The sequence below is a fragment of the Homo sapiens genome, chromosome 21 (genome assembly GCF_000001405.40).
Source record: "Homo sapiens chromosome 21, GRCh38.p14 Primary Assembly".
In the NCBI taxonomy this organism is placed as follows: Eukaryota; Metazoa; Chordata; class Mammalia; order Primates; family Hominidae; genus Homo; species Homo sapiens.
In genome coordinates, this window is record NC_000021.9 from 29,000,552 (window position 1) to 29,028,409 (window position 27,858).

The window sequence follows — 27,858 nt, forward strand, 5'->3', positions numbered from 1 at the left end:
TCCACCTGCAACCCGGGTACGGGATCCACTGGATGAAGCCCGCTGGGCTCCTGAGTCTGGTGGGGACGCGGAGAACCTTTATGTCTAGCTCAGGGATTGTAAATACACCAATCGGCACTCTGTATCTAGCTCAAGGTTTGTAAACACACCAATCAGCACCCTGTGTCTAGCTCAGGGTTTGCGAATGCACCAATCGACACTCTGTATCTAGCTACTCTGGTGGGGACTTGGAGAACCTTTGTGTGGATGTACCTAGCTAATCTAGTGGGGAGGTGGAGAAACTTTGTGTCTAGCTCAGGGATTGTAAATGCACCAATCAGCACCCTGTCAAAACAGACCACTCAGCTCTCTGTAAAATGGACCAATCAGCAGGATGTGGGTGGGGCCAGATAAGAGAATAAAAGCAGGCTGCCCGAGCAAGCAGTGACAACCTGCTCTGGTTCCTTTACATACTGTAGAAGCTTTGTTTTTTTTTCTGTTTGCAATAAATCTTGCTACTGCTCACTCTTTGGGTCCACACTGCTTTTATGAGCTGTAACACTCACCACGAAAGTCTGCAGCTTCACTCCTGAAGCCAGCAAGACCAGGAGCCCACCAGGAGGAACGAACAACTCCAGACACACTGCCTTAAGAGCTGTAACACTCACTGCGAAGGTCTGCAGCTTCACTCTTGAGCCAGCGAGACCACGAGCCCACCAGGAGGAAGAAACTCTCAACACATCCAAACATCAGAAGGAACAAACTCCAGACGTGCCATCTTAAGAGCTGTAACACTCACCATGAGGGTCCGAGGCTTCATTCTTGAAGTCAGTGAGACCAAGAACCCACCAATTCTGGACACAAGAGGACAAGATAATCAGATTATAATCCTTATCTTTTCAATAGCAAACATACAAATTGGGCTGATGATTATTATACACGTTTAACTAAATGGGTGTTAGAATAGTAAAATTCTCTGATACCCTCTGAAATGTTCTTTCATTGCCCTTCCCATTTCCCTAGGATGTTTCTGACCTCCCCCTGATTCCTGGCTAAAGTGTGAATTGCTGATTTATCAGGCTTCTAAAACCCCATTCCAGCCCTAGACATATGGCTATTCCAATGGATGGTGATCAGGTCATATTGGTTGTTAACTATGTTGAATATCCCTTCCCACGAAACTTCCATCTTCAATTATAGTCGCTCCATAATTCTGTTAAAGAAATAAGTGTTAAAGATGGGGGGGAGAAAAATGAATGCACAAGGCTAGTCATTGCTGCACCTTTTCTTTTTTTAGAAGGAGTCTCGCTGTGTCACCCAGGTTAGAGTGCAGTGGCGTGATCTTGGCTCACTGCAACCTCTGCCTTCCGGGTTCAAGCGATTCTCCTGCCTCAGCCTCCCGAGGAGCTGGGATTACAGGCGCCTGCCACCACACCTGGCTAATTTTTTGTATTTTTGGTACAGACAGGGTTTCACCATGTTGGCCAGGCTGGTCTCGAACTCCTGACCTCAGGTGATCCACCCACCTTGGCCTCCCAAAGTGGTGAGATTACAGGCGTGAGCCGCCGCACCCGGCCTAATTTGTTTTTTTTTTTTTTAAAGAAAACCCCGCATATACACACATGCAAAAATAAGATACTAGAAAATAAAATGTAAAACCAAAATTTAATATTGTCTTTTTGGACACAGGATTGTGGGTGACTTTAAAATCCAGTTATTTCTACTCTTCCTATAATGATACATATTATGTGTAATCATATATATAATACATATATGTAATACGTTATATATAACATATAAATAATATATATAATTTGTTGGTGGGAGGAACAAGGGAAAGCAGGTTTACAAAATCTGAAAAGCCAAATGCCCCAGTGGGGAAAAAACCCTCCATTTCGGTAATTCCCTGGTTAAAATCGAGGAACACCCTGGACTTCGAAGGCACCACCTGGGTCCCAGGGTGCACCATTCCTCTAATCCCCCAGTTGCAGCAACATCTGGGAAGTCCCGAGAATGGGGATCTATGCCTGTTTTTCCAAAAGATAATAAGCGTCAACAACAACAAAAAAATAAAAAGTCCAACTCCGCCCCAAAGCAGCATCTGGCTGGCCTGCGAGATGCCCACTGGGGAGGCGAGTCCGCAGCTTAGGACTCAAGCCCGGGGTCGGAAGCTATTGCCGAAATCCGAAACGCAGCGCTCGCAGCTGCAGTGACGCGACCTGCTCATAAGTCCCCGTGCTCACAGCATCCCGGCAACTTACGAGCTAGTGCTTCCGGGTCACCCCGGCCCAGGAAGGCGCACGCGCGAAGCATAGCGAGCTTCACTCCGCACTCTTAGGCTGCGTGTGAGGCCTGCGAGTGCTCGGGAGCTGCCGCGGTCACAAGAGAAAGCCTAGCTGTCAATGACAGCCCCAGAGCATCTGGGCGCCTTGCGATACCCGGGTGTCTGTAGGCAGCCAGGAGACACTTCCAAGCTGATCTGGAATCTTTCCTCGCCCAGCTCTGTCCCTCGCAGGGATGGCAAAGGACATTACGACCTACATCCCTTCCCGGATCTGATGGCTTCAGATTGGCAGATTGTGTTAAAGTGGAAGGCTCGTGGTGCCCCTTTGCTGAGTTTTTATGGACTTAGTTTTCCCAAGTAGTTCTAATTATCGCTGGGGGGGTGGGGTGGGGCGGGAACGTAATTTCTGCGTCTGCCCTTAAATACCTTTAAACCTTGGCTGCATTGCCGCTTTTATGGAATTTCACCCATAGTCTGTCTTTTTTAGTTTCCCTGATACGCATCTTTCTTAATAATAATAATAATAAATAAATAAATAGCACTTTGGGAGGCCGAGGCGGGCGGATTACCTGAGGTCGGGAGTTCAAGAGCAGCCAGGCTAACATGGTGAAACCTACCTCTCTACTAAAAATACAAAAATTAGCGGGGTGCAGTGGCGCGCGCCTGCAATCCCAGCTACTCCGGAGGCTGAGGAAGAATTGCTTGAACCTGGGAGGCAGAGGTTGTGGTGAGCCTAGATCACGCCACCGCACTCGCACTCCAGCCTGGGCTACAGAGCGAGACTTCGTCTTAAAAAAAAAAAAAAAAAAAAAAAAAAAAAAAAAAAACAAGGCATGTGGCCAGTATTCCCTGCCTATACTTGTTTTCTTTAGAAAAATGTAACTTTTAAACATAATTTGACTTGAAACGGTTTCTTTCCAGGATTTATCATTTTTTATAGGTGATTCCAGTTCAAACTATTTATTACATTAATATGTTGACAAATTGTCGTTGCTGAACAAATTTTTTATGTGCAATCATACGGAACATTTTATATTTAAGGATGTTTATATATCAAGTATATAATCATTGGCAGAAACTGGGCAGGGCGCGGTGGCTCACGCCTGTAATTCCAGCACTTTGAGAGGCTGAGGCAGGTGGATCATCTGAGGTCAAGACTTCAAGACCAGCCTGGCCAACATAGTGAATCCCTGTCTCTACTAAAAATACAAAAAATAGCGAGCGTGGTAGCACGCACCTGTAATCTCAGCTACTCGGGAGAATGAGGTGGGAGAATCGCTTGAACCCCAGGCGGCGGAGGTTGCAGTAAGCCAAGATTGCGCCACTGCACTCCAGCCTGGGTGACAGATCCAGATTCTGTCTCCAGAAAAAAAAAAAGAGAAAGAAACCTAAGAAAGCTATATTGTTTATACTCTAACATTTCTAACATTTAACTACATTTATCCATTCTCAAAGGAAGTTGGTCATCACAAGATTGGAAAATCTGTACTTCCCTGGCTTATATGACTTAATCATAAATGTCTAAATTTGACAGATGTCCCAGGAAAGAAAACTTATAAAACTACTCTGTTGCATTCTATGTGTTTATGTGACATTTGAGATCTGCATATTATACATAGCAATCTGGTTTTTAATATAATGTAGAGAGACTGAAAAAGTTTTAGCAGTTTAGCTGCCACTTTAGCTGCTTAAAGTAATATATGCATCATCTGCCCCCTTTGGTGGTAGGGATGTCAGATTCCATTCTCTGTAGGGTATTTCATACAAATCTGTTAGTCGCTGGAGGAATCAGAAACTAGACACACAACTGGTCCACCTGGCTGTCTGGTGGCAGCAGAGGAACTGGGATTTCCAGGGCAACTGACGGGGCGATAGGACAGGGCAGCAGGGAGGAAATCTGGGGACGTACATAAGATTTAGGTCCAATACAAGCACTGTGCTTTAAATACCATTCTGATTCTCATTTATGTTTAACCACCTTTATATTTAAGATCTATCCACATTGCCTTCTTCCATTTTATTCCTTCAGATTTCTACATTGTATTACATAATATATGCTGTCTTTTACTAACTGATTCATTTTGTGATAAGCATAGTTTGCCTACAACCTTTTACTAACTTAATGCATTGTCTCTCACCCCAACTCCATTCCTTAACCAAGTCTGACTGGTCAAGAAATATCCAACACCTGGTATCAACCTGCATCAACCTGCATGCTAGCAAATTAGCAAATAATAAATGCTTTTGGAACTAACTGGTTTATGGAGGTCCTCAAAAACTGGGTGGTGTGTTTATTTAATGCTAGGTCAATTTGGCAAAAATAAATGTACAGAAAGCCATTTCCAGAACAAAAAATGTCAGAATACAATTTGCCAAACAAATTTTCTAAATTACTAATTTGATGAATTGTTGAGGCTTGTTAAAAAAGTTTAAGCCCTACTAATGCCTCAGCCTTGTCTGAGGCAAGCCCAGGAGCAGGGGCAGAGCGTGAGTATACAAAAAGTGGGGAACTGCAAACTCCACTTCAGAAAAACTTCACCTATTTGTGTATCAAAAGGCTGGGGTAAATGCAAAACTAAAGCTCTGAAAAACTCTATTTGACAAACTAGCTTTCAACTGCTAGTAAAAAGCCTAGATATTGGCCAGGCACGGTGGCTTATGCCTGTAATCCAAGCACATTGGGAAGCCGAGGTGGGAGGATCACCTGAGGTCAGGAGTTCAAGACCAGCCTGGCCAAAATGGTGACACCCTGTCTCTACTAAAAAACACAAAAATTAGCCAGGCATGGTGGCGGGCGCCTGTAATCTCAGCTACTTGGGAGGCTGAGGCAGGAGAATCGCTTGAACTTGGGAGGCGGAGGTTGCAGTGAGCGGAGGTTGCACCATTGCACTCTAGCCCGGGCGACAGAGCAAGACTCCGTCTATTTAAAAAAAAAGCCTAGAAATTAAACAAAACTGGTTTTATTTCATAAGATGTTTAGAGACAGGCAATGGCTGGTGTTGGGTCAGCAGCTCAACAATGTGGCAACTGGCATCTTCGTGGTTCTCTTGGCCCTTCGTCGTGGTTCAAATAACTCCTCCAGCTCCAGTCATCACTTTGGTGTTTATGGCAGTAAGGGGGGGAGGAGGTGGCCTAGCTGCATATGTATCTTTAATCAGGAAGTAAAAGTTTTCCCAGAATTCCCAAGGCCAAAGCTGTGTCCTGAGGCCACTGAGAGTTGTTAGTTGCAACAGAGGCTGAAAGGGGAGCAATTAGCTTTTCTGGGTTCTTTAGTGAAGGCAGGTAAGGGAGAAGGGGGTTGGGAATGGCTGGCAAATTGGAGCACCAACATTACCTTTATGGATAATTTCTTTTTCAAAATGGGCAGCTGATATGTGAAGAAATATCTAACAACAATTTTAAGGTTGTAATTTGAAACTCAGTTCTGCTTTCAATCATGACATTTTTAACAGATGCATTTCAGCTATACTATTTTTTCTTGTGCCCCACTCCCCAACATTCTAGAATGGAACTAAAATAAAATTACTTAATCTTTCAAGAAAAAGTGGGAAAAAAAAATCAAAAGGCCAACAGTGGCAAGATACTTTCAACTACTCTTGATGTCATTGTCCTTCTACACCAAAGAACATCTGGAAAACATCCCCACATCCTTTGGTGTTTAAGAACTGATAGAGCTGACCAAAGTCCATGTGGTTTCCCCTGGCTCCATTAACACTGAACACTTTTTCTTCAAAAATGGAAAATTTCCTTTGTCTTTCCGTTTCATCATTTGTACCATCAAAAGGAATGTCTTCTCGATGGCGAATTAAAATTCTCTTCCAGTTTAATTTTCTGAGTCTGAAAAGAAATTTCCAAAGTAAACATTTTCAAAATGTATATTCTAGAGCATTTAAAACAGAAGTTATAAAACAGATTTATCAATGCCTTTTCCTAGAAGTAGTCTACTTTTTAAAATGTTTATAACTTTTACTTATTGATTTAGTAGAGGCAGGTCTTGCTATGTTGCTCATGCTGGTTTCAAACTCCTGGCTGCAAGTGATACTCTGGCCTCAGCCTCCCAAAGTGCTGGGATTACAGGTGTGAGTCATACACACCCCGTCCAAGAAGTCTACTTTTATCTCACAGGGATTTATTTTAATCAAATATGATTCTGGTCATAATCTCATCTCTGAACTCATTTGTTGCCCTTACTACAGCCATGTATCAGTAGTTTAGAAATGTAGGAATTACTGAATCCCAAACTACTATGGACCTTCTCAGAAATTCATTTAGTATATCAGTAGAGAAATGAGACTAGTGGCAATTCTAATGCTTCTAGAAAGCTCCTTACTTCACAGGGTATACAGTTTGCAGCATCACTAAAATGAGGGAAGGACCAGATCCATGGAAGTGGATGGGGTCATAGTGTCTGGGGCAGGAGCTCAATTCATTCAGTGCATATTTACAGAATGTCTCCTACATGCACTTGTCAGGTGACGGGGAAAATGCTGACTACATGTGATTTCTGCCATATCCATCAACTTGAGATTGAATCCCCATAAAGACACAACCCCTGGGACATACTTATCTCCACATCTCTAATAGTCATGTGTTGCTTAACAACGGGGATACATTCTGAGAAATGTATCTTTAGGCTATTTTGTTGTTGTACCACCACGACAGAGTGTACTTACACAAACCTAGATGGTACTTTTTTTGCATTTATATTTTTTCATATAGAAAACCAAATGTCCCAGCACCATTACTGAATATCATTCTGATATTCAATAGTGGGAAGATCAAGTGCCATATATCAGGTTTCTATATGTGCTCCATTATAATCTTATGGCATCACTGTTTTATGTGTTGTCCACTGTTGACCAAAACGTCACTAGGCAGCACATGACTGTATCTTGTTTAGTATTAACATTATTGACATGACTTCATATACATATGTAAAAGCAAACCTTGACCAGAATTCTTCACAGGCACTTTGTGGGCCTTCCACACAAACAACACCAGGTTTTCCAGGCATGCTAAACCCAGACAGGGAAAGCTCCTTTGCCCACTCTAGAATATTCTTTCTTTTGCATTTGTTATAGATATGATGGCTGTAGATCCAGAGTCTCGTGAAGATGAGGTCAACTGACTGGACTGTGCTTCCTGTGGTGGGTGAAGATGAAGTATCTCTGCTGACATAGCCAGAGGCGTGTTCTCTAACCCACTCTGTGGCATTCAGTATACAAACATCTCCATGACAATGTTTTTGCAGGAATGCAGTCAGATCTGTGTTCAGCTGAGTCTGCTGGGATCTACTCAATAATACTGATCTAATAGAAAAGATACAAGAAAAATATTGTCTTGGAACAGAAAACAAATTCGAGAATTGCTTTTATTCTCAGATTAATTTTGACCTCCAAAGTTGGCCAGAGCTTCTGTAACGTACCTGACAGTAATTTCAGGCAGAACTGCCGGGTATTTAAAGGGAAGAATACAGGCCAGAGAAAACATCGCCTGATTAAAGAGAAGAAGAAAAAGTGCACTAACCAATGTTTTAAGTCTCAACATGTTTCAATCCCTCTAAAAGCAAAACTGAATTACCATTTTTTCGTCAGATACATCCAGGTTCATATTGATAGTAAAGTAGACTTTTGAAGATCGCCCCTCCATTGTCTTCTTTTCAATACAATCTTTCAGTTCTGCTACAGCCAGCTGGTCATTCACTATGAGCTCATTCTCACCAGGGAACATACTGGCTAGCAGGTCTAACTCAGCAAGCTGGGCCTCCGCCTGCTCCATCTCAATCATTTTTGGACATGTGTAAGTTTCTAAGGAGGTAAAGATAAGAGAGACAATTTACATATGCAATCTTGGAAGAAATGAATACATCAACATGTGTACTTACTAAAATTGTACTTGGTTTCTTCATAAATTGTACAATTTAATTAGTCTCTTTCCCTATTACTCTACTTTCAGATATAATATGCTAAGTCCTATGCTAAGACCAGCCTGAGCAACATACTGAGACCATCTATAAAAAAACAAACACAAAAAAACTCTTAATAGTAAGTAGACACCACATTCTTCTGTGTCTAGATAGTTGAGTGGACAACTTGAGCTACCATAATGGGCAATTTCATCAAAGTAAACCAATTATGTAGTCAAAAAGCTGTATCAATAATGTAGCCAGAAGAGAGGATATGACTGGTTACACTGGAAACCTAGAATGAACAAAGTCAGTCAGAGAGTTTGGTTACGTGGATGGTCAATTTCTTCTTTTTAAGTAAATATTAATGTTTATTAGGTTTTTTTGAGACAGGGTCTAGCTCTGTCACCACAGCTGGAGTGCAGTGGCATGATCCCCGCTCACTGCAACCTCAACCTCCCACGCCCAAGCAATCCTCCCACCTCAGACTTCTGAGTAGCTAGGACCACAGGTATGCACTGCCACGCCCGGCTTCATTTTTTATTTGTAGAAACAAGGTCTTGCTATGTTGTCCAGACTGGTCTTGACCTCCTGGGCTCAAGCAATCCTCCTGCCTTGGCCTCCCAAAGTGCTAGCATTACAGGTATGAGCCACTGTGCATGGCATTTATTAGTTTTTTTTTTTTTTTTTTTGAAACGGAGTCTCGCTCTGTCACCCAGGCTGTAGTGCAGTGGCGCAATCTTGGTTCACTGCAAGCTCCACCTCGGCGCGTTCACGCCATTCTCCTGCCTCAGCCTCCCAAATAGCTGGGACTACAGGCGCCCAACACCACACCCGGTTAATTTTTTGTATTTTTAGTAGAGATGGGGTTTCACCGTGTTAGCCAGGATGGTCTTGATCTCCTGACCTCATGATCCGCCCGCCTCGGCCTCCCAAAGTGCTGGGATTACAGGTGTGAGCCACTGCGCCCGGCCTATTTATTAGTTTTTAAGAAGCAGAGGAACATAAAGAGAAAATAAGTGTTAATTGTCCTGTAGCTTAAGTCACCCCTGTTAACATTAAAACATCTTAAGCATTATACATATATATATGTGAAAAATGCTGGTATAATGTATAAATATGTACAATGTGAGATATATACAGTATACATATTTAAATCCAAAGGGGATAATATATACTTTTTCCTCCTATTTCCTATCTCCCTCCCCACCAAATATATTTTGTAGATCTATTCACTGTCAACATATAGTGATCTACCTCATTCTTTGTAACTGTCGGCTGTTATACTGAATCATGTAGATATGCCATAACTTATTTAATTCTTTACCTATTGATGGACACTTGGGTTGTTTCCACATTTTTACTAATATGAACAATCCTATAATGCAAGGTCTTTTTATATATATAGTATGGTAAACTGAATACTGTGTATTCAATAATAAACTTACAGAGGTGGATTGTTGTATCAACATGTACATTTTAAATTTTGATAGATATTGCCAAGTTACTTTCCAGAAAGTTGCCATACAGAACAGAAATTTACAATTGTACTCAGTCCCCTGCTTCTTTTCTTTAAAAGAAAATTCTTAATACATAGTTCCTTTTGGCCTAGCACGGTGGCTCACACCTGTAATCCCACCACTTGGGGAGGCCAAGGAGGGTGGATAGCTTGAGTCCAGGAGTTTTAGATCAGCCTGGGTAACATAACGAAACCCTGTCTCTACTAAAAAATACAACAAAATTACCCGGGTGTGTTGGTGCGTGCCTGAAGTCCCAGCTACTTGGGAGGCTGAGACAGAATCACTGGAACCTGGGAGTCAGAGGTTGCAGTGAGTTGAGATCGTGCCATTGCACTCCAGCCTGGGCAAAAAGAGTGAAACTCCGTCTCAAAAAATAAAAATAAAAAAAAAAAACCAAAAAAAACCCTCTCCCTCTCCCTCTCCCGTCTCCCCATGGTCTCCCTCTCCCTCTCTTTCCACGGTCTCCCTCTGATTCCGAGCCGAAGCTGGACGGTACTGCTGCCATCTCGGCTCACTGCAACCTCCCTGCCTGATTCTCCTGCCTCAGCCTGCCGAGTGCCTGCGATTGCAGGCGCGCGCCGCCACCCCTGACTGGTTTTCGTATTTTTTTGGTGGAGACGGGGTTTCGCTGTGTTGGCCGGGCTGGTCTCCAGCTCCTAACCGCGAGTGATCCGCCAGCCTCGGCCTCCCGAGATGCGGGGATTGCAGACGGAGTCTGGTTCACTCAGTGCTCAATGGTGCCCAGGCTGGAGTGCAGTGGCGTGATCTCGGCTCGCTACAACCTCCACCTCCCAGCAGCCTGCCTTGGCCTCCCAAAGTGCCGAGATTGCAGCCTCTGCCCGGCCGCCACCCCGTCTGGGAAGTGAGGAGCGTCTCTGCCCGGCCACCCATCGTCTGGGATGTGAGGAGCCCCTCTGCCTGGCTGCCTAGTCTGGAAAGTGAGGAGCGTCTCTGCCCAGCCGCCCTGCCATCTAGGAAGTGAGGAGCGCCTCTTCCCAGCCGCCATCCCATGTGGGAAGTGAGGAGCGTCTCTGCCCGGCCGCCCATCGTCTGAGATGTGGGGAGCACCTCTGCCCTGCCGCCCCGTCCGGGATGCGAGGAGCGTCTCTGCCCGGCCACCCGGTCTGAGAAGTGAGGAGACCCTCTGCCTGGCAACCACCCCGTCTGAGAAGTGAGGAGCCCCTCCGCCCGGCAGCCGCTGGGTCTGAGAAGTGAGGAGCCCCTCCGCCCAGCAGCCACCCCGTCTGGGAAGTGAGGAGCGTCTCTACCCGGCAGCCACCTCGTCCGGAAGGGAGGTGGGGGGGGGTCAGCCCCCCGCCCGGCCAGCCGCCCCTTCCGGGAGGGAGGTGGGGGGGGTCAGCCCCCCACCCGGCCAGCCGCCCCGTCCGGGAGGGAGGTGGGGGGGTCAGCCCCCCGCCCGGCCAGCCGCCCCGTCCGGGAGGTGAGGGGCGCCTCTGCCCGGCCGCCCCTACTGGGAAGTGAGGAGCCCCTCTGCCCGGCCAGCCGCCCCGTCCGGGAGGGAGGTGGGGGGGTCAGCCCCCCGCCCGGCCAGCCGCCCCGTCTGGGAGGTGAGGGGCGCCTCTGCCCGGCCGCCCCTACTGGGAAGTGAGGAGCCCCTCTGCCCGGCCAGCCGCCCCGTCCGGGAGGGAGGTTGGGGGGTCAGCCCCCCGCCTGGCCAGCCGCCCCATCCGGGAGGGAGGTGGGGGGGTCAGCCCCCGACCCGGCCAGCCGCGCCGTCCGGGAGGGAGGTGGGGGGGTCAGCCCCCCGCCCGGCCAGCCGCCCTGTCCGGGAGGTGAGGGGCGCCTCTGCCCGGCCGCCCCTACTGGGAAGTGAGGAGCCCCTCTGCCCGGCCAGCCGCCCCGTCCGGGAGGGAGGTTGGGGGGTCAGCCCCCCGCCCGGCCAGCCGCCCCGTCCGGGAGGGAGGTGGGGGTGGTCAGCCCCCCCCCGGGAGGTGAGGGGCGCCTCTGCCCGGCCGCCCCTACTGGGAAGTGAGGAGCCCCTCTGCCCGGCCACCACCCGGTCTGGGTGGTGTACCCAACAGCTCACTGAGAACGGGCCATGATGACAATGGCGGTTTTGTGGAATAGAAAGGGGGGAAAGGTGGGGAAAAGATTGAGAAATCGGATGGTTGCTGTGTCTGTGTAGAAAGAGGTAGACATGGGAGACTTTTCATTTTGTTCTGTACTAAGAAAAATTCTTCTGCCTTGGGATCCTGTAGATCTGTGACCTTACCCCCAACCCTGTGCTCTCTGAAACATGTGCTGTATCCACTCAGGGTTGAATGGATTAAGGGCGGTGCAAGATGTGCTTTGTTAAACAGATGCTTGAAGGCAGCATGCTCCTTAAGAGTCATCACCACTCCCTAATCTCAAGTACCCAGGGACACAAACACTGCGGAAGGCCGCAGGGTCCTCTGCCTAGGAAAACCAGAGACCTTTGTTCACTTGTTTATCTGCTGACCTTCCCTCCACTATTGTCCTGTGACCATGCCCAATCCCCCTCTGCGAGAAACACCCAAGAATGATCAATTAAAAAAAAAAAAGTCTTCTATTTTCTATTTGGAATACATTTTCAATTTCTGCATTTAAATATTTGATCCATCTGGGATATACTTCACTTTAAAAGGTGACGGAAGTTTCCAGCTTATTTTTTTTTTCCAGTTAACTAGCCATTTTTACCAGTACATCTTATAATAAATTTGAAATGTTTCTTTCAACATATGTTAAGTGCCTATATGTATTTGAGTCTTTTTCTGGATTCTCCATTTTGTTATATTGATCTGTCTATAATATCATGTCCTAATACTCTTTTTTTTTTTTTTTTTGAGACAGAGTCTCACTCTGTCACCCAGGCTGGAGTGCAGTGGTGCGATTATAGCTCGTTGCAGCCTCGAACTCCTAGGCTCAAGCAATCCTCCTGTCTCAGCCTCCCAAGTATCTGGGACTACAGTCATGCTACCACCATACCCAGCTAACTAATACTCAACTCTTGAAATCACTATGATGGGTTAGTAAATTGCTCCTACTCTGTCTCTTCATAGCCATCACTCTTCTTTTCTAGAATTCTTTTTTGGTATTTCCTGGCTTTTCTCACATATAAACATTAGAATAATTTTGTTAAGTTTTGAAAACAAGAAAAAATGGTAATTGCATTGAAATTAAAGATTAGGCCTGGCGCGGTAGCTCACGCCTGTAATCCCAACACTTTGGGAGGCAGAGGCGGGCGGATCATGAGGTCAGGAGATCCAGACCATCCTGGCTAACACAGTGAAACCCCACCTCTACTAAAAACACAAAAAATTAGCCGGGCGTGGTGGCCGGCGCCTGTAGTCCCAGCTACTCGGGAGGCTGAGGCAGGAGAATGGCGTGAACTCGGGAGGCGGAGCTTGCAGTGAGCCGAGATCGCGCCACTGCACTCCAGCCTGGGCGACAGAGTGAGACTCCGTCTCAAAAAAAAAAAAAAAAAAGAAATTAAAGATTAATACAGAAAAAGACGATATGTTTATAACGTAGAATTTTCCCTTCAGTAGTTTTTTTAATAGCTTTAATGAGGTATAATTTATATGCCATACCATACTACTGCCAAGCAAGATCTTTAAAATGTTAGCATCCCTTAAGGTTTGGTTGAGGACATCTTTATCTTCTCTATTGTCTCATGGTACCAAGTATTACTGAATATTAAATGTTCACAATTCTCAAATTCTTAGGATGTTCCAAATTCTCGAGCCCCATATTTGTAAATTTAACTATATCTGTATATTTCTATTGGATGTTATATTAGTTCATTTTCTGTTACGATAACAGACTACCTGAGACTGGGTAGTTTACGATGAAGAGAAATTTATTTGGCTTATTGTTCTGGAAGCAGGGAAATCCAAGAGAATGGTGCCTGCATTTTGCAAGGGCATTCTTACTGAGTCATCCCATGGCGGAAGGCAGAGGGCAAGAGAGAATGAGAGCAAGTGCAAGAGAGATGAAGGGGCCAAATGCATGCTTTTATCAGGAACCCACTCCCACAATAACTAACCCACTCCTGCAGTAACACCATTAATCCATTTGTGAGGGCCCTGTTCTTTGGGAACTTTTTCAACCCTGCCTTCTTTCTCTTCTTCTGAAATGCTGATGACAGGAATGTTACATTTTTTGTTATATCCCTGCATATCACTTAATCACCTCTGAAAGGTCCCACCACTCAACTCTATTGCTTTGGGATAAAGCTTCTAACACATGAACTTTGGGGCACACATTAAACCACAGCAGAGACCATCTCAGTCTTAACAGTCCTAAAATAGGTCTAAATGGCCTGGCGCAGTGGCTCACGCCTGTAATCCCAGCACTTTGGGAGGCCAAGGCAGGCAGATCATGAGGTCAGGAGATCAAGACCATCCTGGCTAACATGGTGAAACCCCATCTCTACTAAAAATACAAAAAATTAGCCGGGCGTGGTGGCGGGCACCTGTAGTCCCAGCTACTCAGGAGGCTGAGGCAGGAGAATGGCGTGAACCCAGGAGGCAGAGCTTTCAGTGAGCCGAGATACAGCCACTGCACTCCAGCCTGGGCGGCAGAGCGAGACTCCTTCTAAAAATAAAAAAATAAAAATAAATAAAGTAAAATAAAATAGGTCTAAATTATATTTCTTTAATAATAATTCTTTTATTATTTCTTTTCTGTTTAGAGAACCTATTTTAACCATTCTTTTAGGATAGGTCTGCTGGTGACAAATCTCCTAGATTTCCTTCATCTTAGAATGTCTTGATTTCCCCTTCATTTCTGCAGAATATTTTCACTGGATGCAGTATTCTGGCTTAACAGGTTTTTACTTTCAACAATTGAAAAATGCTGTGCCTCTTCACCTAGCCTCTCTGGTGACTGATGAGAAATCACTCTCATTTGAATTGTTTTCCTTTACAGATAAGGTTCATTTTTGTCACTAATTTTAAGAATTTTTCATTGTCTTTGGTTTTCAGAAGTTTGATTATGATGCGTTTTTTTTTTTTTTTTTTTTTTTGAGATGGGAGTCTCACTTTGTCACCCAGGCTGGAGTACAATGGTGCAATCTTGGCTTATTGCAACCTCCACCTCCCAGGTTCAAGCAATTCTCCTGCCTCAGCCTCCTGCGTAGCTGGGATTACAGGCGCACACCACTACGCCCAGCTAATTTTTGTATTTTTAGTAGAGATGGGGTTTCACCATGTTGGGCAGGCTGGTCTCGAAATCCTGACCTTGTGATCCACCCGCGTTGGCCTCCCAAAGTGCTGTGATTACAGGTGTGAGCCGCCACACCTAGTCTTTTTTTTTTTTTTTTTTGAGATGGAGTTTTGCTCTTGTTGCCCAGGCTGGAGTGCAATGGCACAATCTTGGCTCACCACAACCTCCGCCTCCTGGGTTCAAGTGATTCTCTTGCCTCAGCCTCCCGAATAGCTGGGATTACAGGTGTTCGCCACCACGCCCAGCTAATTTTTTGTATTTTTAGTAGAGAAAGGGTTTTATCATGTTGGCCAGGCTGGTCTCAAACTCCTGACCTCAGGTGATCTACCTACCCTGGCCTTCCAAAGTGCTGGGATTACAGGCGTGAGCCACCATGCCCAGCCCCATATGGTTTAGGTATTTATCCTAGACAAAAGCAATCCTAATTAGGCGAGAGACTATATGGGCACAATTCTTATTTGTGACTTCTCAGAGTCTTAAACTGTGAATTTCCAAGAGGGGTGTTCAGTATTCTGTCTGACTCCAGAACATGTTTTTCCAGGCCAAATGACATTAGCCCTCCTCTCCACAGAACAGAGCAGGATTCCTTATTTTGCCATGTAGTTACCTGAATTTAAGTAGTTTAAATATAAGCATTTAAAGTATCATAAAAGATGGTGGGTAGCCTTGATAATATTTATACATATATTAACATATATTTATTAATATGTCTATTCATGTTTAATTTGAAGTTTTCCTCTTCTAATAACTGTTGGAACTGCAAATATTCCTCCCTCCTTTAATCGCAATGTTTTCTTTTGTTTTTTTTCCGATTTTTTATTTATTTATTTTTTTGAGACGGAGTTTCGCTCTTGTTGCCCAGGCTGGAGTGAAATGGTGCAATCTCGGCTCACTGCAATCTCCACCTCCCAGGTTCAAGCGATTCTCCTGCCTCAGCCTCCCAAGTAGCTAGGATTACAGGCATGCGCCACCACACCCAGCTAATTTTTTGTATTTAGTAGAGATGGAGTTACACCATGTCAGTTGGGCTAGTCTCAAACTCCCGACCTCAGGTGATTCACCCGCCTTGGCCTCCCAGAGTGCTGGGATTACAGGCATGAGCCACTGCTCCCGGCCTTTTTTTTTTTAAACAAAATCCTCATACATACTTAAAATCCCTGGACTTATTGGAATTCCATATACATATTTGCTGGTCTGTTTTGGAGTTGAGAAACATAAAAAACAACTACTTGGGTGGTTATTAGAGGAAATGGTTTACTTTGTTTTTTTGTTGGCGTGGCTCTGTTACCAGTGTTTTTGGATTCTATTACCAGATTGCCAAGGTGCGACTCCTGGCTCTGCCACTTACCAACTGCAGGACCTTAGGCAAGTGGCTTAATTTATCTGTGCTTTAGTCTCCCCAACTCCATAACTGGGATGAGAGGGTTGCTGTGATGATTAGATGAGAATTTGTGGAAAGTGCCTGGCAACAGTAAATTTTATATGCGTGCTTGCTACTATTATTATTAATTAAAAAAACCTTTTTTTTTGAGACAGGGTCTAGCTCTGTCACCCAGGCCAGAGTGCAGAGTCGGCTCACTACAACCTCTGCTTTCTGGGTTTTTTAGTAGAGACGGGGTTTCACCACGTTGGCCAGGCTGGTCTCGAACTCCTGCCGTCATGATCCACCCGCCCTGGGCTCCCAAAGTGCTGGGATTACAGGCATGAGCCACCGTGTCCGGCTGCTTATTACTATTATTATTATTGGTCATCATTTCAACAAATGTTTCTCAAGCACTTACGTTCAAGCACTGGCACTAAGATAACAATGAATGAAAGTAATAAAACAACTCTACTGGTGGGAGGATACCATGACATCAAAAACAAATTTATACGCCCAGCCCAGGTGCGGTGGTGGCTCACGCCTGTAATCCCAGCACTTTGGGAGGATGAGGTGGGCGGATCACCTAAGGTCAGGAGTTTGAGACCAGCCTGGCCAACATGATGAAACCCCATCTCTACTAAAAATACAAAAATTAGCCAGGTGTGGTCGCCCACGCCTGTAGTCCCAGCTACTAGGGAGGCTGAGGCAGGAGAATCGCTTGAACTGGGGAGGCGGAGGTTGCAGTGAGCTAAGATCATACCTCTGCACTCCAGCCAGAGCAACAGAGCAAGACTGTCTCAAAAAAAAACAAAAAAGAATTTTTGTACCCAGTGAATAACTGCTATGAAGAAACCTGAAAAAGAAAACAAGGATAAGGGAAACAATGAGGCAGCAGGGGTGAGACTGCACACAGCATTGTCAGGAAAGGCCTTTCTCCTAAGGTGACTGTAGGGAAGAGACTTTAAGGAACTGAAAAAGGAGGCCATGTGTTTTTCTTGGCCAAGAGTGTTCAAGGGAAAGCGAACAGCATATTCAAAGGCCTTGAGGAAGGAGGGTGCTAGAACAGCTGGCCAGAGCACAGTGAGCTGAGGACACGGGGAATAGAAGAGTTTAGTAAGGAAATGTGGGGCAGTTTATGTTGGGACTAGTAAAGCATGGCCAGAATTTTGAATTTTATCCCGACTGACATGTAAGAGCTACAAGAGAGGTTTGACTTATGAAGATCCCCACACTTGCTGCTATGGAGAAAAGTGAAAGGAAAAGTGGGGTGACCAGATATAGACACCGCAATAACTAGGGAGAGATGATGGTGGCTTTGATAGGATTATAGTGGTCAAGTTGGTGAGCTTCAGGTTCTGGATACATGCAGAGAACAGAGGCAACAGGATTTACAGATGAATTACATGAGACACGGAAGAATGACTCCGGGGCTTTAAGGTACTGAAAGTATGGATCTGCCATTTATTTAGACGTTGATGGTCATGGGGAGCTGAAGCTTGGTTTTAGACACAAGTAATGAAGTGCCTACTAAGACACCTGTTAAATAGAGAGGTCTAGCAGGCAGTTAGATGTATAGTTTTGAAGTCTACGAGAGACTCAGCTAGATATATAATCTTGGGAGTCAACACTTATTTGGAACTATATATTTGTTTAAAGTCTCCCAGGGAGTGAGTAAAGTTGGGAGAGGGTGCTATTGAATTGGAGGTATCGAAGATGAAATGGGATTAGCAAAGAAGAACGGGACGGAGGGACTCTTGAACGGACAACTACGGGAGTGATGTCACAGGTCATTTATCTGCCAAATTATTTTCGCTTAAGAGATTTCAGTCCTTCCAAAAAACCCTCAAGATAATTTTATGATTCAAGATTTCAGCGAATGCTGTAAGATAATAGACTGTGGCCGGGCGCGATTGCTCACGCCTGTAATCCCAGCACTTTGGGAGGCAGAGGAAGGGGGACTGCTTGAGCCCAGGAGTTCAAGATCAGCCTGGGTAACATAGTAAGAGCTCGCCTTTATTATTTTTTTAAAAAATAAAATATATTTAAGAGAACGCAGACTGAAACTTGAGATTTCTGAGTGGAATAATATCTTTTCCTTGCAGATTTTTTTTTGAAGAACAGAGCAGGGTACCCCGCGACCCAAGCCAAGACGCTCTCAGGAAGAAAGCCCAGCACGCAGCCGCCCTCGCACCCTGATTGCCCCCGGGGCGAGGTCCCCGGCTGGAGCAGGGCTGCAGAAGCCGGGAAGCAACGCCGAGGACCGAGCCGACCGATGGGCGCATGCAGTGAGGGGAACCGGGGCCGCCATGCCGGGCACGTTCCCAAAGGGTTGCACTGGGCGCTGCAGCGTGGGAAACCCCCGTGGCGGTCACCACTGGCGCTAGCTGAGGCGAGACTCACCTTGAGCCGTGGCCCCCTCACTGCTGTAACCCGGGTTCCATGGCTGCATGGACAGCTCAATTTTCATCAGAAGGGAGCCTCAAAATTCTAGCATACTGCGACCCAAAACTTACAAACCGCCTCAGCTGGCGACCTACCGGAAAAAAAAAAAAAAAGCATGCGGCGCATGCGCGTCCAAGGCCGCGGACCGGAAGCTGGGGCTCGCCTGTTGGGAGCCGCGTCCGCCGGTGTTGGTGTCTGCACTTGGAAGGACGTAGGGAATGCGTTGTCCCTGCTAGGTACTTTTCAGTCGCAGAGTTCTCTTCTTCTTCTTTCTTTCTTCCTTTTTTTTTTTTTTGAGACGGAGTCTCGCTGTGTCTCTCAAGCTGGAGTGCAGTGGCGCGATCTCGGCTCACTGCAGCCTCCGCCTCCTGGGTTCAAGCGATTCTCCTGCCTCAGCCTCCCGAGTAGCTGGGATTACAGGCGCCCACCACCATGCCCAGATAATTTTTGTATTTTTCAGTAGAAATGGGGTTTCACCATGTTGGCCAGGCTGGTCTCGAACTCCTGACCTCAGGTGATCCACCGGCCTCGGCCTCCCACAGTGCTGGGATTACAGGCCTGAGCCACCGTGCCCGGCCGGAGTTTTTCTACTTAATACCTCTCCATGCCAACCCCGTTGTCATTTCCCAGCGGCCGCCTCTATAACGGGCACTTTTCAGGGACAAAGAATTGGTCCGTTAATGTTCCTCAAATTCGAACGCGCCTAGGAATAGTTCGGGGATCCTGTTGAAGTGCAGATCAGGATTCCGTAGGTAGGGGTGGGGTTCCAAATTCTACATTTCTAGTATCTTCCCACACGATGGTGATCCTCCTTGTCCCTGAATCATGGAGGAGGGCAATTAGGGAGATGTGAGCCTGGATGCATGGTGGCCTTGGCTATCTTAGGTGTTCTTGCCCATTAACCAAGCTGGGAGGAACCGTGTGAATGCATATCTATCCCTGTTAATAAAAGGGTAGTTTGAAGGAGATGCTGACAGGAGAATAATTAGAAATGTTTTTCTTCCCAATCCAACTATATGCAATACACTTTATAATATTCATTTTAGAAATGTCATAGATAAGATTTGTAAACATTGACATTTAGCAATACTAAATATCACTGCTAGGTCTCCCCTCCACTTTTTTTTTTTAAACAAAAATACGACAGTATGTATTGTAGGTCTTCATAAACTACGTCTTCTGCATAGTGTTTCATGAGCGTTTTTCAATGTCATAATTTATTTTTTCCTCCAACATTTATTATGAAAAAATTCAAGTGTAAAGCGAAGTCGAGAGAATTTTACAGTGGAGCAGACCTCAAGAGAAGGGGAAGGATGGATTTCCCCTCTATTTAGCAGTGTCTGAAGACATTTTGGGTTGTCACAACTGGAAGGATGGTATTGGCATGGGGTAGGTAGAGCACAGGGATGTTCCTCAACTTCCTACAATGAACAGGACATCCCCCGACAACAACAAATTTGCTGGTCCAAAATGTTGATAGTGTTGAGGTTGAAAAACACTGACCTGGAGAGTACAGAATTTTACTCTACCAGCTTTGTCACATACCTCATCAATCTATCTGTTTTCATACATTTAAAAGTAAACTGCAGACAGTACGCTTCTAAGTACCTCTAATGCACATCATTGGAGTTCAAATTAAGGATTTTTTAAGGTAAAAATGAAATGCATACCTTAAATACACATCAGTTTTTAAATGCACACGCCTATGGAACTCAAGCCATATTAACATATAGAACGTTACCATCACCCTAGAAAGTTCTTTCATGCCCTTTCTTAGTTCCCAACCAGTTCTCCCCAAAGGTAACCACTGTTCTGATTTTTTCCCCCACCATACTTATTTTTCTTGTTATAGAACGTCATATGGTTGGAGTCATGCAATAGATATTTTTGTGTAAGGGTTCTTTCACTCAGGGTAATATTTTCATCTGATATCATGTGTATCACTTTCTTTTGATTGCTCAGTAGTATTCCATCATATGAATATACCAGTTCCATTCTTGTTTTGATAGAAACCTGGGCTGTCTTCAGTTTTTTGGCTATTATAAATAAAGCTGCTGTGAACGTTCTTATATAGCATTTTATTGCTCATGACTTTCTTTTCAATAAATATTTATCGAGCACTTACTATATTCCAGGCATTTCCAGGTACTAATTATAGCCATGAACAAGACAAAGATGTCGCATCTCTCAAAGAGCTTATATTTGCACATTTCTGTGTATGTATGAAGAGGGCTAAACATAAAGGTAAAAATAAAAGAAAATTATGGGCCGGGCACAGTGGCTCATGCCTGTAATCCCAGCACTTTGGGAGGCCAAGGCGGGCAGATTACCTGAGGTTGGGAATTCAAAACCAGCCTGACCAACATGAAGAAACCCCGTCTCTACTAAAAATACAAAAATTAGCTGGACATGGTGGTGCATGCCTGTAATCCTAGCTACTGGGGAGGCTGAGGCAGGAGAATTGCTTGAACCTGGGAGGCGGAGGTTGTGGTGAGCCGAGATCACGCCATTGCACTCCAGTCTGGGCAACAAGAGCAAAACTGCGTCTCAAAAAAAAGAAAAAAAAAAAAAATTATGGCTGGGTATGATAGCTCATGCCTATAATCCCAGCACTTTGGGAGACCAAGGAGGATCACTTGAGCCCAGGGTTTGAGACCAGCTTGGGCAACAGAGACCCCTAACTCTACAAAAAACACAAAAATTAGCCAGGTGTGGGGGCGTGTGCCTGTAGGCCTGTAGTCCCAGCTACTCAGGAGGCTGAGGTAGGAGAATTGCCTGAGCCTGGGAAGTTGAGGCTGCAGTGAGCTGTAACTGCACCACTGCACTCCAGCCTGGGCAACAGAGTGAGACTCTGTCTCAAAAAAAAAAAAAAAAGAAAGAAAATTACCAGATAGTGGATAAACTGCTGGGCAGAGAAGTAAAGTAAGGTGATGTGAGTGATCAGATGACTGTGTTACTTAGATTGCCCTGTAACTGGAAGGAAGTGACTTTTAAGGCATGTATAGAAGCTGGGTGTGGTGACTCACACCTGGAATCCTAGTGCTTTGGGAGGCTGAGGCTGGAGTATCGCTTGAGGTCAGGAGTTTGAGACCAGCCTGGGCAGCAGGCTTTTGTAGAGACACGGTGACTTCAAAAAAAAAAAAAAAAAGTTAGCTGATGAGGTGGCACACACTTGCAGTACCAGCTACGCGAGGCTGAGGCATGAGGATCACTTGAGCACAGGAATTCAAGGTTACAGTGAACTATGACTGCACTTCAGCCTGGGCTACAAAGCCAGACCCTGTCTCTAAAATAAATAAATTAAAAATAAGGTGTGAACAGAATGACAATAAGATACCAACCCCGGAAGATCAGGGGGAAGAGGCTTTCTGACAGGAAGCACGTGGTACAATGACCCTAAGGCTCTGTTTTAAAATGCGTGGGGGCAAAAAGCCTGCATTTCTGGAGCTTGGAGAAGAAAGCTTTAAAAAATTATCTCATCCCACTCCTGTTCTTTTTTGCATGAGAGCTGGAGCCTATGCCCTACCACACATCCGTGGATATGCCCAGGATTTGACTTGGGCCTTCGAACTTTGCACAGTAGCTGCTACTAACTTTTTGAGATAATACATTCGTGGGGGCTCAGTCCTGCCTCATCTAAATCACCAGAGACCAAACAAGGACCAGCCCAATATCTCTTGGACTGTAATGTCATAATGTTGTCAGAATACAGAGAAAGATGAAACTAAGCCGGGTCCGGTGGCTTATGCCTGTAATCCAGCATTTTGGGAGGCCGAGGCAGGTGGATCACTTGAGGCCAGGAGTTCAAGACCAGCCTGGCCAATATGCTGAAACCCTGCCTCTACCAAAAAAATACAAAAGTTAGCTGTGTGGTGGGGTGGCACGTGCCTATAATCCCAGCCACTGGGGAGGGTGAGGTGGGAGAATCGGGAGGTGGAGGTTGCAGTGAGCTGAGGTCGTGCCACTGCACTCCAGCCTGGGTAACAGAGTGCAACCCGGTCTCAATAAATAAATAAATAAGTAAATAAAACAAAAATTATCTCAGCAGTAAAAAGCAAGAGAGCTAGTTTTCCCCCAAATTTAACCAAATGTTACTCTGGTGGTTAGTATGCCACCATCTTAAACTCCTTTTATCTGATTAGTAAGGATGGACATTTATTTTATGACCAATTGTTCTTTTATGGTGAATTACCTGTTTACATATCTATTTTTCTATAGCTATCTGCAACTCCCCCGACCCCCACGGTAGCGATTACTATCTTCTCTACTAAACTAAGACTCCAGGGCAGAGAGGCCTATGTTTAATTCATTTGAGGAAAGGCTTGGCACAAAGTGTGCACTTACATATTTTCTTTTTTTCTTTTTGAGAGGGAGTTTTGCTCTTGTTGCCCAGGCTGGAGTGCAATGGAGTGATCTTGGCTCATTGCAACCTCTGCCTCCAGACTTCAAGCGATTCTCCCCCTTAGCCTCCCGAATAGCTGGGATTACAGGCGCCCGCCACCACGACCGACTAATTTTTTGTATTTTTAGTAGAGACGGGATTTCACCACGTTGGCCAGGCTGGTCTCGAACTCCTGACCTCACGTGATCCACCCGCCTCGGCCTCCCAGTGTTGGGATTACAGGGGTGAGCCACCGCGCCAGGGCTCGCACTTACAAATTTTCAAAGAATGGACAGTAAATATTTGAAAATCCCCTCCTCCCCCGCAATTTATCTGACACCGTCTTTCGGTTTTGCTTTAAAAATTCACTCTCGCGGCCGGGCGCGGTGGCTCACGCCTGTAATCCCAGCACGTTGGGAGGCCGAGGCGGGCGCATCACAAGGTCAGGAGTTGGAGACCAGCCTGGCCAATTGGTGAAACCCCGTCTCTACTAAAAATACAAAAATTTTAGCTGGGCGTGGTGCCGTGCGCCTGTAGTCCCAGCTACTCGGGAGGCTGAGGCAGAAGAATGCACTCCAGCCTGGGCGACAGAGGGATATTCCGTCTCAAACAAACAAAAAATCACTCGCTGCGTTTTTTATTCTGACATGGTGCAGGAAGGTAAATTCAAGACAACTTAGGTACTCAGTTTTAGAAGTCGACAGGACAGAATTACGGAAACAAATTTAAGCGTTCCCCCTTTTAGCTCCAAATATAATGTGTTCCAGAAAGGTAACCATCTAGGAAACTCCAAGGCTCAGACCACCACCGGATGCCCACACTTCAGGAGCATTTATATAACTTCGTGGTTATGTCAGAGACGAGAAAACCCATTGACAACCAAACCCCTAAACCCGAACATCCGGCGCAAGCCGCACGCAGGCGCAGATTTACTAGCGTCAGAGCCGATGGTCCCGGGAGGTGGGGGTGGGGTGGTGGTGGCCTAGCCACTTCCCATAATGCCGCGTTCCGGAAGTTATTGCTTTCCAGGGGTCACTCTGGCTTCGACTCCGTCGCTCTCAATTCGTCACCAGGAGGAAGACGGAGCTGGCTGCCCAGCCCAAAGGCCCATGAGGGGATGCAGTTATGGGCTCTGTCGCCGTGGGTGAGTTCTGGTCCCACTGCCTGGCAGTCGTCGCTCGCCTGGCTTTCTGCGCTGGGAGAGCTCCTGTTTTCCGCCCCAACTTCGTTCTCTTCTTGAAGGCCGCTCTCCTTAAGCACGTAACCCGGCTACTTTCCGGTACTGCGATCTCATTGGCTGCATGTTCTGTCAGTTCCAGAAGCTGGCCAATGAGATGCCGCTGCTGGCGGCCTTCTCGACCCCGTGGACCCAGAGGTTCCCCCGTGGGATCGGAGCAGTTAGAAGGGGAGGAGAGGGAAGGTGTGGCAGGCGCCGAGCAAATGGGTGGGTGGCGCGTGGCAGGGACTTCCCTATGGGTTGGAGCTGGATTTGCAGCCGTGTTCATACGGCTGGTAGGAAAAGCAGGATCTGTCACTTATCCAATTGACTATATCTAGGAGGGGATTGATATACGCAAAACTTGAAAGCCACGTTAACACCTGCTGACAAAGTTTTCCACACGCTTACATTTTTAATGGAACCGAGTAGGCAGGGGAAGACTGGGAGGGCAGAGAGTGAAGAGACTTGGAATAATATGAGAACCGGCAAGACTATCTTTGATTTAGATTTTGTATGGAGTCCTGCGAAGAGTCATTTCACTAAGACGTTAATGCTCATCCGATGACACTACTTGAAAAGTGTATTAAGTTTATTGATGTTTTATAGCTGATGGAAGTCACAATATGCTCTCCTCATGACTCATTAGTTGCCTTTATAGTTGTCAGAACTTTACTGAGGCTCTTTCCGCAGCACTGGAGTGACCCCTCTGTCCTCTGCCTGCAGTAATTAACAATTCGTCTTTCAAGTTTTCCTATGGAGTCTAAGCTGCTGCAATCCTCAAACCAGATTTACTAGTGCTGTCTTCACTACTGCAGACTTCTGACTTCTCATTTTTCACCCTTTTCTTTTTCACCAGAACTTGTTTGCTTCATTCTTATGTACCTACCTTTGCACCTTGTAATCATCCTTTATGCCTCAGGTACTATTCTATTTTTCTATTTCAATGCAAGAAGTATTTCTTCAGGACCTGCTATGTACTAACATTATGCTAGATATTATAGGCAGTTCCAAAACTGTGCTTGAAACCATTTATTTTTCTAAGAACTTTAGATTCTGCTTACAGAAATAACATAAACCCAGATTAAAGATTTAAGAAATTCACTAGAATATGGGATAAGGGGACAAGATGACTAGAGCATACCATAAATACTGGGGAAGTTCAGTGGAGAGGTTTATTTAGAGTAGAATGATTGTCTAAGGCTTCCTTGAAATGGAGAGCTTCCAAGATTGGTAAGATTTAGATAGAATATTACAGCTAGAAATCAAAGACATCAAGGCGGGGAGGGTACAAAGTGTTTTGGAGTGGAGTACAAGAGAAGGACTTGGCCAGGTGCTGTGGCTCACGCCTGTAATCCCAGCACTTTGGGAGGCCGAGGCAGGTGGATCACGAGGTCAGGAGTTCAGACCAGCATGGCCAAGATGGTGAAACCCCGTCTCTACTAAAAATACAAAAATTAGCCGGGTGTGGTGGTGGGCGTCTGTAATCCCAGCTATTCGGGAGGCTGAGGCAGGAGAAGCACTTGAACCCGGGCGGCAGAGGTTGCAGTGAGCCGAGATCGGGCCACTGCACTCCGGCCTGGGCGACAGAGCAAGACTCCGTCTCAAAAAAAAAAAAAAAAAAAGAGACAGACTTGATTGGCAGGTAAAAAGTGGTGGTCTTGAAACCCAAACATCTGCATTTTACCTTTTTTTTTTTTTTTTTTTTTTTTGGTAGAGATAGAGTGTCGCTTTGTTGCCCAGGCTAGTCTTGAACTTCTGGCCTCAAGCCGTCCTCCCACCTCGATCTCCCAAAGTGTTGGGATTACAGGCGTGAGCCACCGCACCCAGACAACATCTGCCTTTTAGCTCATCGTTTGTGTGATCTTTCACCATTTTTTTTTCCTGACTTTTCTCCTTGAGTGAAATGCCTCTATTTAAAGTGTTGTTATGAAAATCCGATGTGATAATGTTTGTGAAAGGGCTTTGAAGATCAAAAGCACTATATAGTTATAACTTTAGTGGTTTTTTTTGTTGTTGTTGAGGTGTAATAGAAAGTCAGGATTAGCCGAGCAATGGGGCCGAATTTATAAAGGCCTATGAGTGCAAAGTTTAGGGAGTGTGGTCCAGGAAACTGTTAAATGCTTCCGATCAAGAGAGTGATATGATAAAAATGGCATAACTGGGAGATGAATCTAGTACTGAACTCCCACATCGATTAGAGTGAGTTGGATTGGAGGCAAGAACTTGGGTGCTATTTTATGTATTTATTTCTAAAATCTATAATTCTATATAATTAGGTAGACCTGTATGTACTTTTAGCACTTTTCATGTTTTCTAAGTTTGAATTGTTGACTAAAAAAGTGAAGATTTGATGTGCAGCTAGATTTGTCAAATAGCCTTCCAAAGTGGTTTTGGCAATAATATAATAATGTAAATAGTTGAGAATGCAGTTGTAATCAATTTTCATTTAGCTGATACGCATAGGAAATCCTGGTGTGGAAAATGTACAACAGTGTATCACTTTTTGTATTTGGCTTTGAAGCCATTTTGGAAATTTTCTAACTCCCTTCAGGAGGTTGTTAGAATTATTTTTAATTTTTATTAGAGAAATTATCAGTTTAATTTGCATAGACTGCAGAGCTAAGAAAGGTAGCTTAGAAGGGAAGCAAATCAGTTTTCTGATTAAAGTGCTGCCATTATTTCACATGTATGTAGTGAGGAGTCACCTTCCTAAGAGTATCAAGTTCTGAGACTGTTCAAGATCTGTGTAAGATGACCAAGGTTCTCTCCTGACCTTTACATATATTGAAAACCTCTTAAGCTTGCTAAGAATCACTTTCCTATGCTATGAAAAACGGGAGATAACTATTCTATCTACTTGAGTTCCTGTTGAAAATTAGATGATTATATGTGATTGGTCTTTGTAAATTACAATGTGATAGACATGCATAATATACGTGGCTTAGTTATATTACTGTCTCCTAGAGAAATATAAGACATACTTTTTTTTTTGGTCAAGCTAACTTTATCTTGTTTTCTAGATTGTTATTTTGTGTCAGTAAGTAATCCATAAAGTGCCAACATGGGAAAGAAACGGACAAAGGGAAAAACTGTTCCAATCGATGATTCCTCTGAAACTTTAGGTATATTTCATTGATTGAATCTTTAATGTTTATATCTCTAAATGAATATGTTTTAAAATGTAAAAATGGTATAAAGCTGCATATTATTGTTATATTATCTGCATTTTAATATAATGTTTGTATCTATATGTCATTTAATAGTCTTCTACTTTTTTTTTTTTTTTTGAGAAAGAATCTCGCTCTGTTGCCCAGGCTGGAGTGCAGTGGTGCAATCTCAGCTCACTGCAACCTCCGCCTCCCAGGTTCAAACGGTTCTCTCGTGCCTCAGCCTCTGAGTAGCTGGGATTACAGACACATCCCACCACAGCCAGCTAATTTTTTTTTTTTTTTTTAATAGTGACGGGGTTTCCCTGTGTTGGTCAGGCTGGTCTTGAACTCCTGGCCTCAAGTGATCCGCCTGCCTTGGCCTCCAAAAGTGCTAGGATTACACGTGAG

General features: G+C 45.0%; 2 protein-coding genes and 1 long non-coding RNA gene across 9 annotated transcripts in view, besides 4 other annotated features; 2 read left to right on the forward strand and 1 right to left on the reverse strand.

Annotated features, from left to right (window-relative positions):
- Nucleotides 2,382–2,491: an enhancer, noted in NCBI's record as "active region_18326". NCBI's record gives its function as "activates an Ori minimal core promoter by ATAC-STARR-seq in GM12878 lymphoblastoid cells {active_cell/tissue: GM12878}" and the evidence as "EXISTENCE:reporter gene assay evidence [ECO:0000049][PMID:35858748]".
- On the reverse strand, nt 3,833–18,798 carry RWDD2B (RWD domain containing 2B). 2 transcript variants are annotated; one of them, NM_001320724.2, is made up of 6 exons: nt 18,660–18,798; nt 9,044–9,141; nt 7,844–8,070; nt 7,689–7,756; nt 7,210–7,572; nt 3,833–6,100 (listed from the first exon to the last, which is right to left on the reverse strand). In NM_001320724.2, the coding sequence occupies exons 3-6, from the start codon at nt 8,048–8,050 to the stop codon at nt 5,866–5,868; spliced, it is 873 nt and encodes a 290-aa protein (NP_001307653.1). In that variant the 5' UTR covers nt 8,051–8,070; nt 9,044–9,141; nt 18,660–18,798; the 3' UTR covers nt 3,833–5,865. The 2 variants fall into 2 exon arrangements, with proteins under 2 accessions (NP_001307653.1, NP_058636.1); NM_016940.3 differs by lacking the exon at nt 9,044–9,141.
- Nucleotides 11,713–12,293: an enhancer, noted in NCBI's record as "NANOG-H3K27ac hESC enhancer chr21:30384585-30385165 (GRCh37/hg19 assembly coordinates)". NCBI's record gives its function as "activates a minimal SCP1, AML or CMV promoter by ChIP-STARR-seq in naive H9 embryonic stem cells {active_cell/tissue: H9 hESC(naive)}" and the evidence as "EXISTENCE:reporter gene assay evidence [ECO:0000049][PMID:30033119]".
- Nucleotides 17,035–20,777, forward strand: LOC124905005 (uncharacterized). The gene is made up of 2 exons (XR_007067836.1): nt 17,035–17,696; nt 18,362–20,777. It is a non-coding gene; the product is annotated as an uncharacterized LOC124905005 (long non-coding RNA).
- Nucleotides 18,639–18,888: an enhancer, noted in NCBI's record as "active region_18327". NCBI's record gives its function as "activates an Ori minimal core promoter by ATAC-STARR-seq in GM12878 lymphoblastoid cells {active_cell/tissue: GM12878}" and the evidence as "EXISTENCE:reporter gene assay evidence [ECO:0000049][PMID:35858748]".
- Nucleotides 23,993–24,382: an enhancer, noted in NCBI's record as "active region_18328". NCBI's record gives its function as "activates an Ori minimal core promoter by ATAC-STARR-seq in GM12878 lymphoblastoid cells {active_cell/tissue: GM12878}" and the evidence as "EXISTENCE:reporter gene assay evidence [ECO:0000049][PMID:35858748]".
- Nucleotides 24,117–27,858, forward strand: part of USP16 (ubiquitin specific peptidase 16) — a 29,821-nt gene continuing 26,079 nt past the window's right edge. For 2 of the 6 annotated variants that reach the window (NM_001032410.2, XM_017028258.2), the window contains exons 1-3: nt 24,117–24,226; nt 25,158–25,220; nt 27,322–27,423. In NM_001032410.2, the coding sequence (NP_001027582.1) occupies nt 27,363–27,423 (61 nt within the window). In that variant the 5' untranslated portion in view covers nt 24,117–24,226; nt 25,158–25,220; nt 27,322–27,362. Of the gene's footprint in view, nt 24,227–24,276; nt 24,527–25,157; nt 25,221–27,321; nt 27,424–27,858 lie in introns of those variants that run through there. The other 4 variants (XM_017028257.2, XM_017028259.2, NM_006447.3 and 1 more) reach the window with 2 other exon arrangements.

What these genes read in the sequence shown, in the direction of transcription:
- RWDD2B (NM_016940.3), bottom strand. Translation starts at nt 18,726, where the DNA reads ATGAAAATTGAGCTGTCCATGCAGCCATGGAACCCGGGTTACAGCAGT. An exon ending in ATGTATCTGACGAAAAAATG is followed by an intron (nt 7,757 to 7,843) that starts GTAATTCAGTTT and finishes CTCTTTAATCAG; the next exon opens with GCGATGTTTTCTCTGGCCTG. An exon ending in TGTGAAGAATTCTGGTCAAG is followed by an intron (nt 6,101 to 7,209) that starts GTTTGCTTTTAC and finishes ATTTCTTTTCAG; the next exon opens with ACTCAGAAAATTAAACTGGA.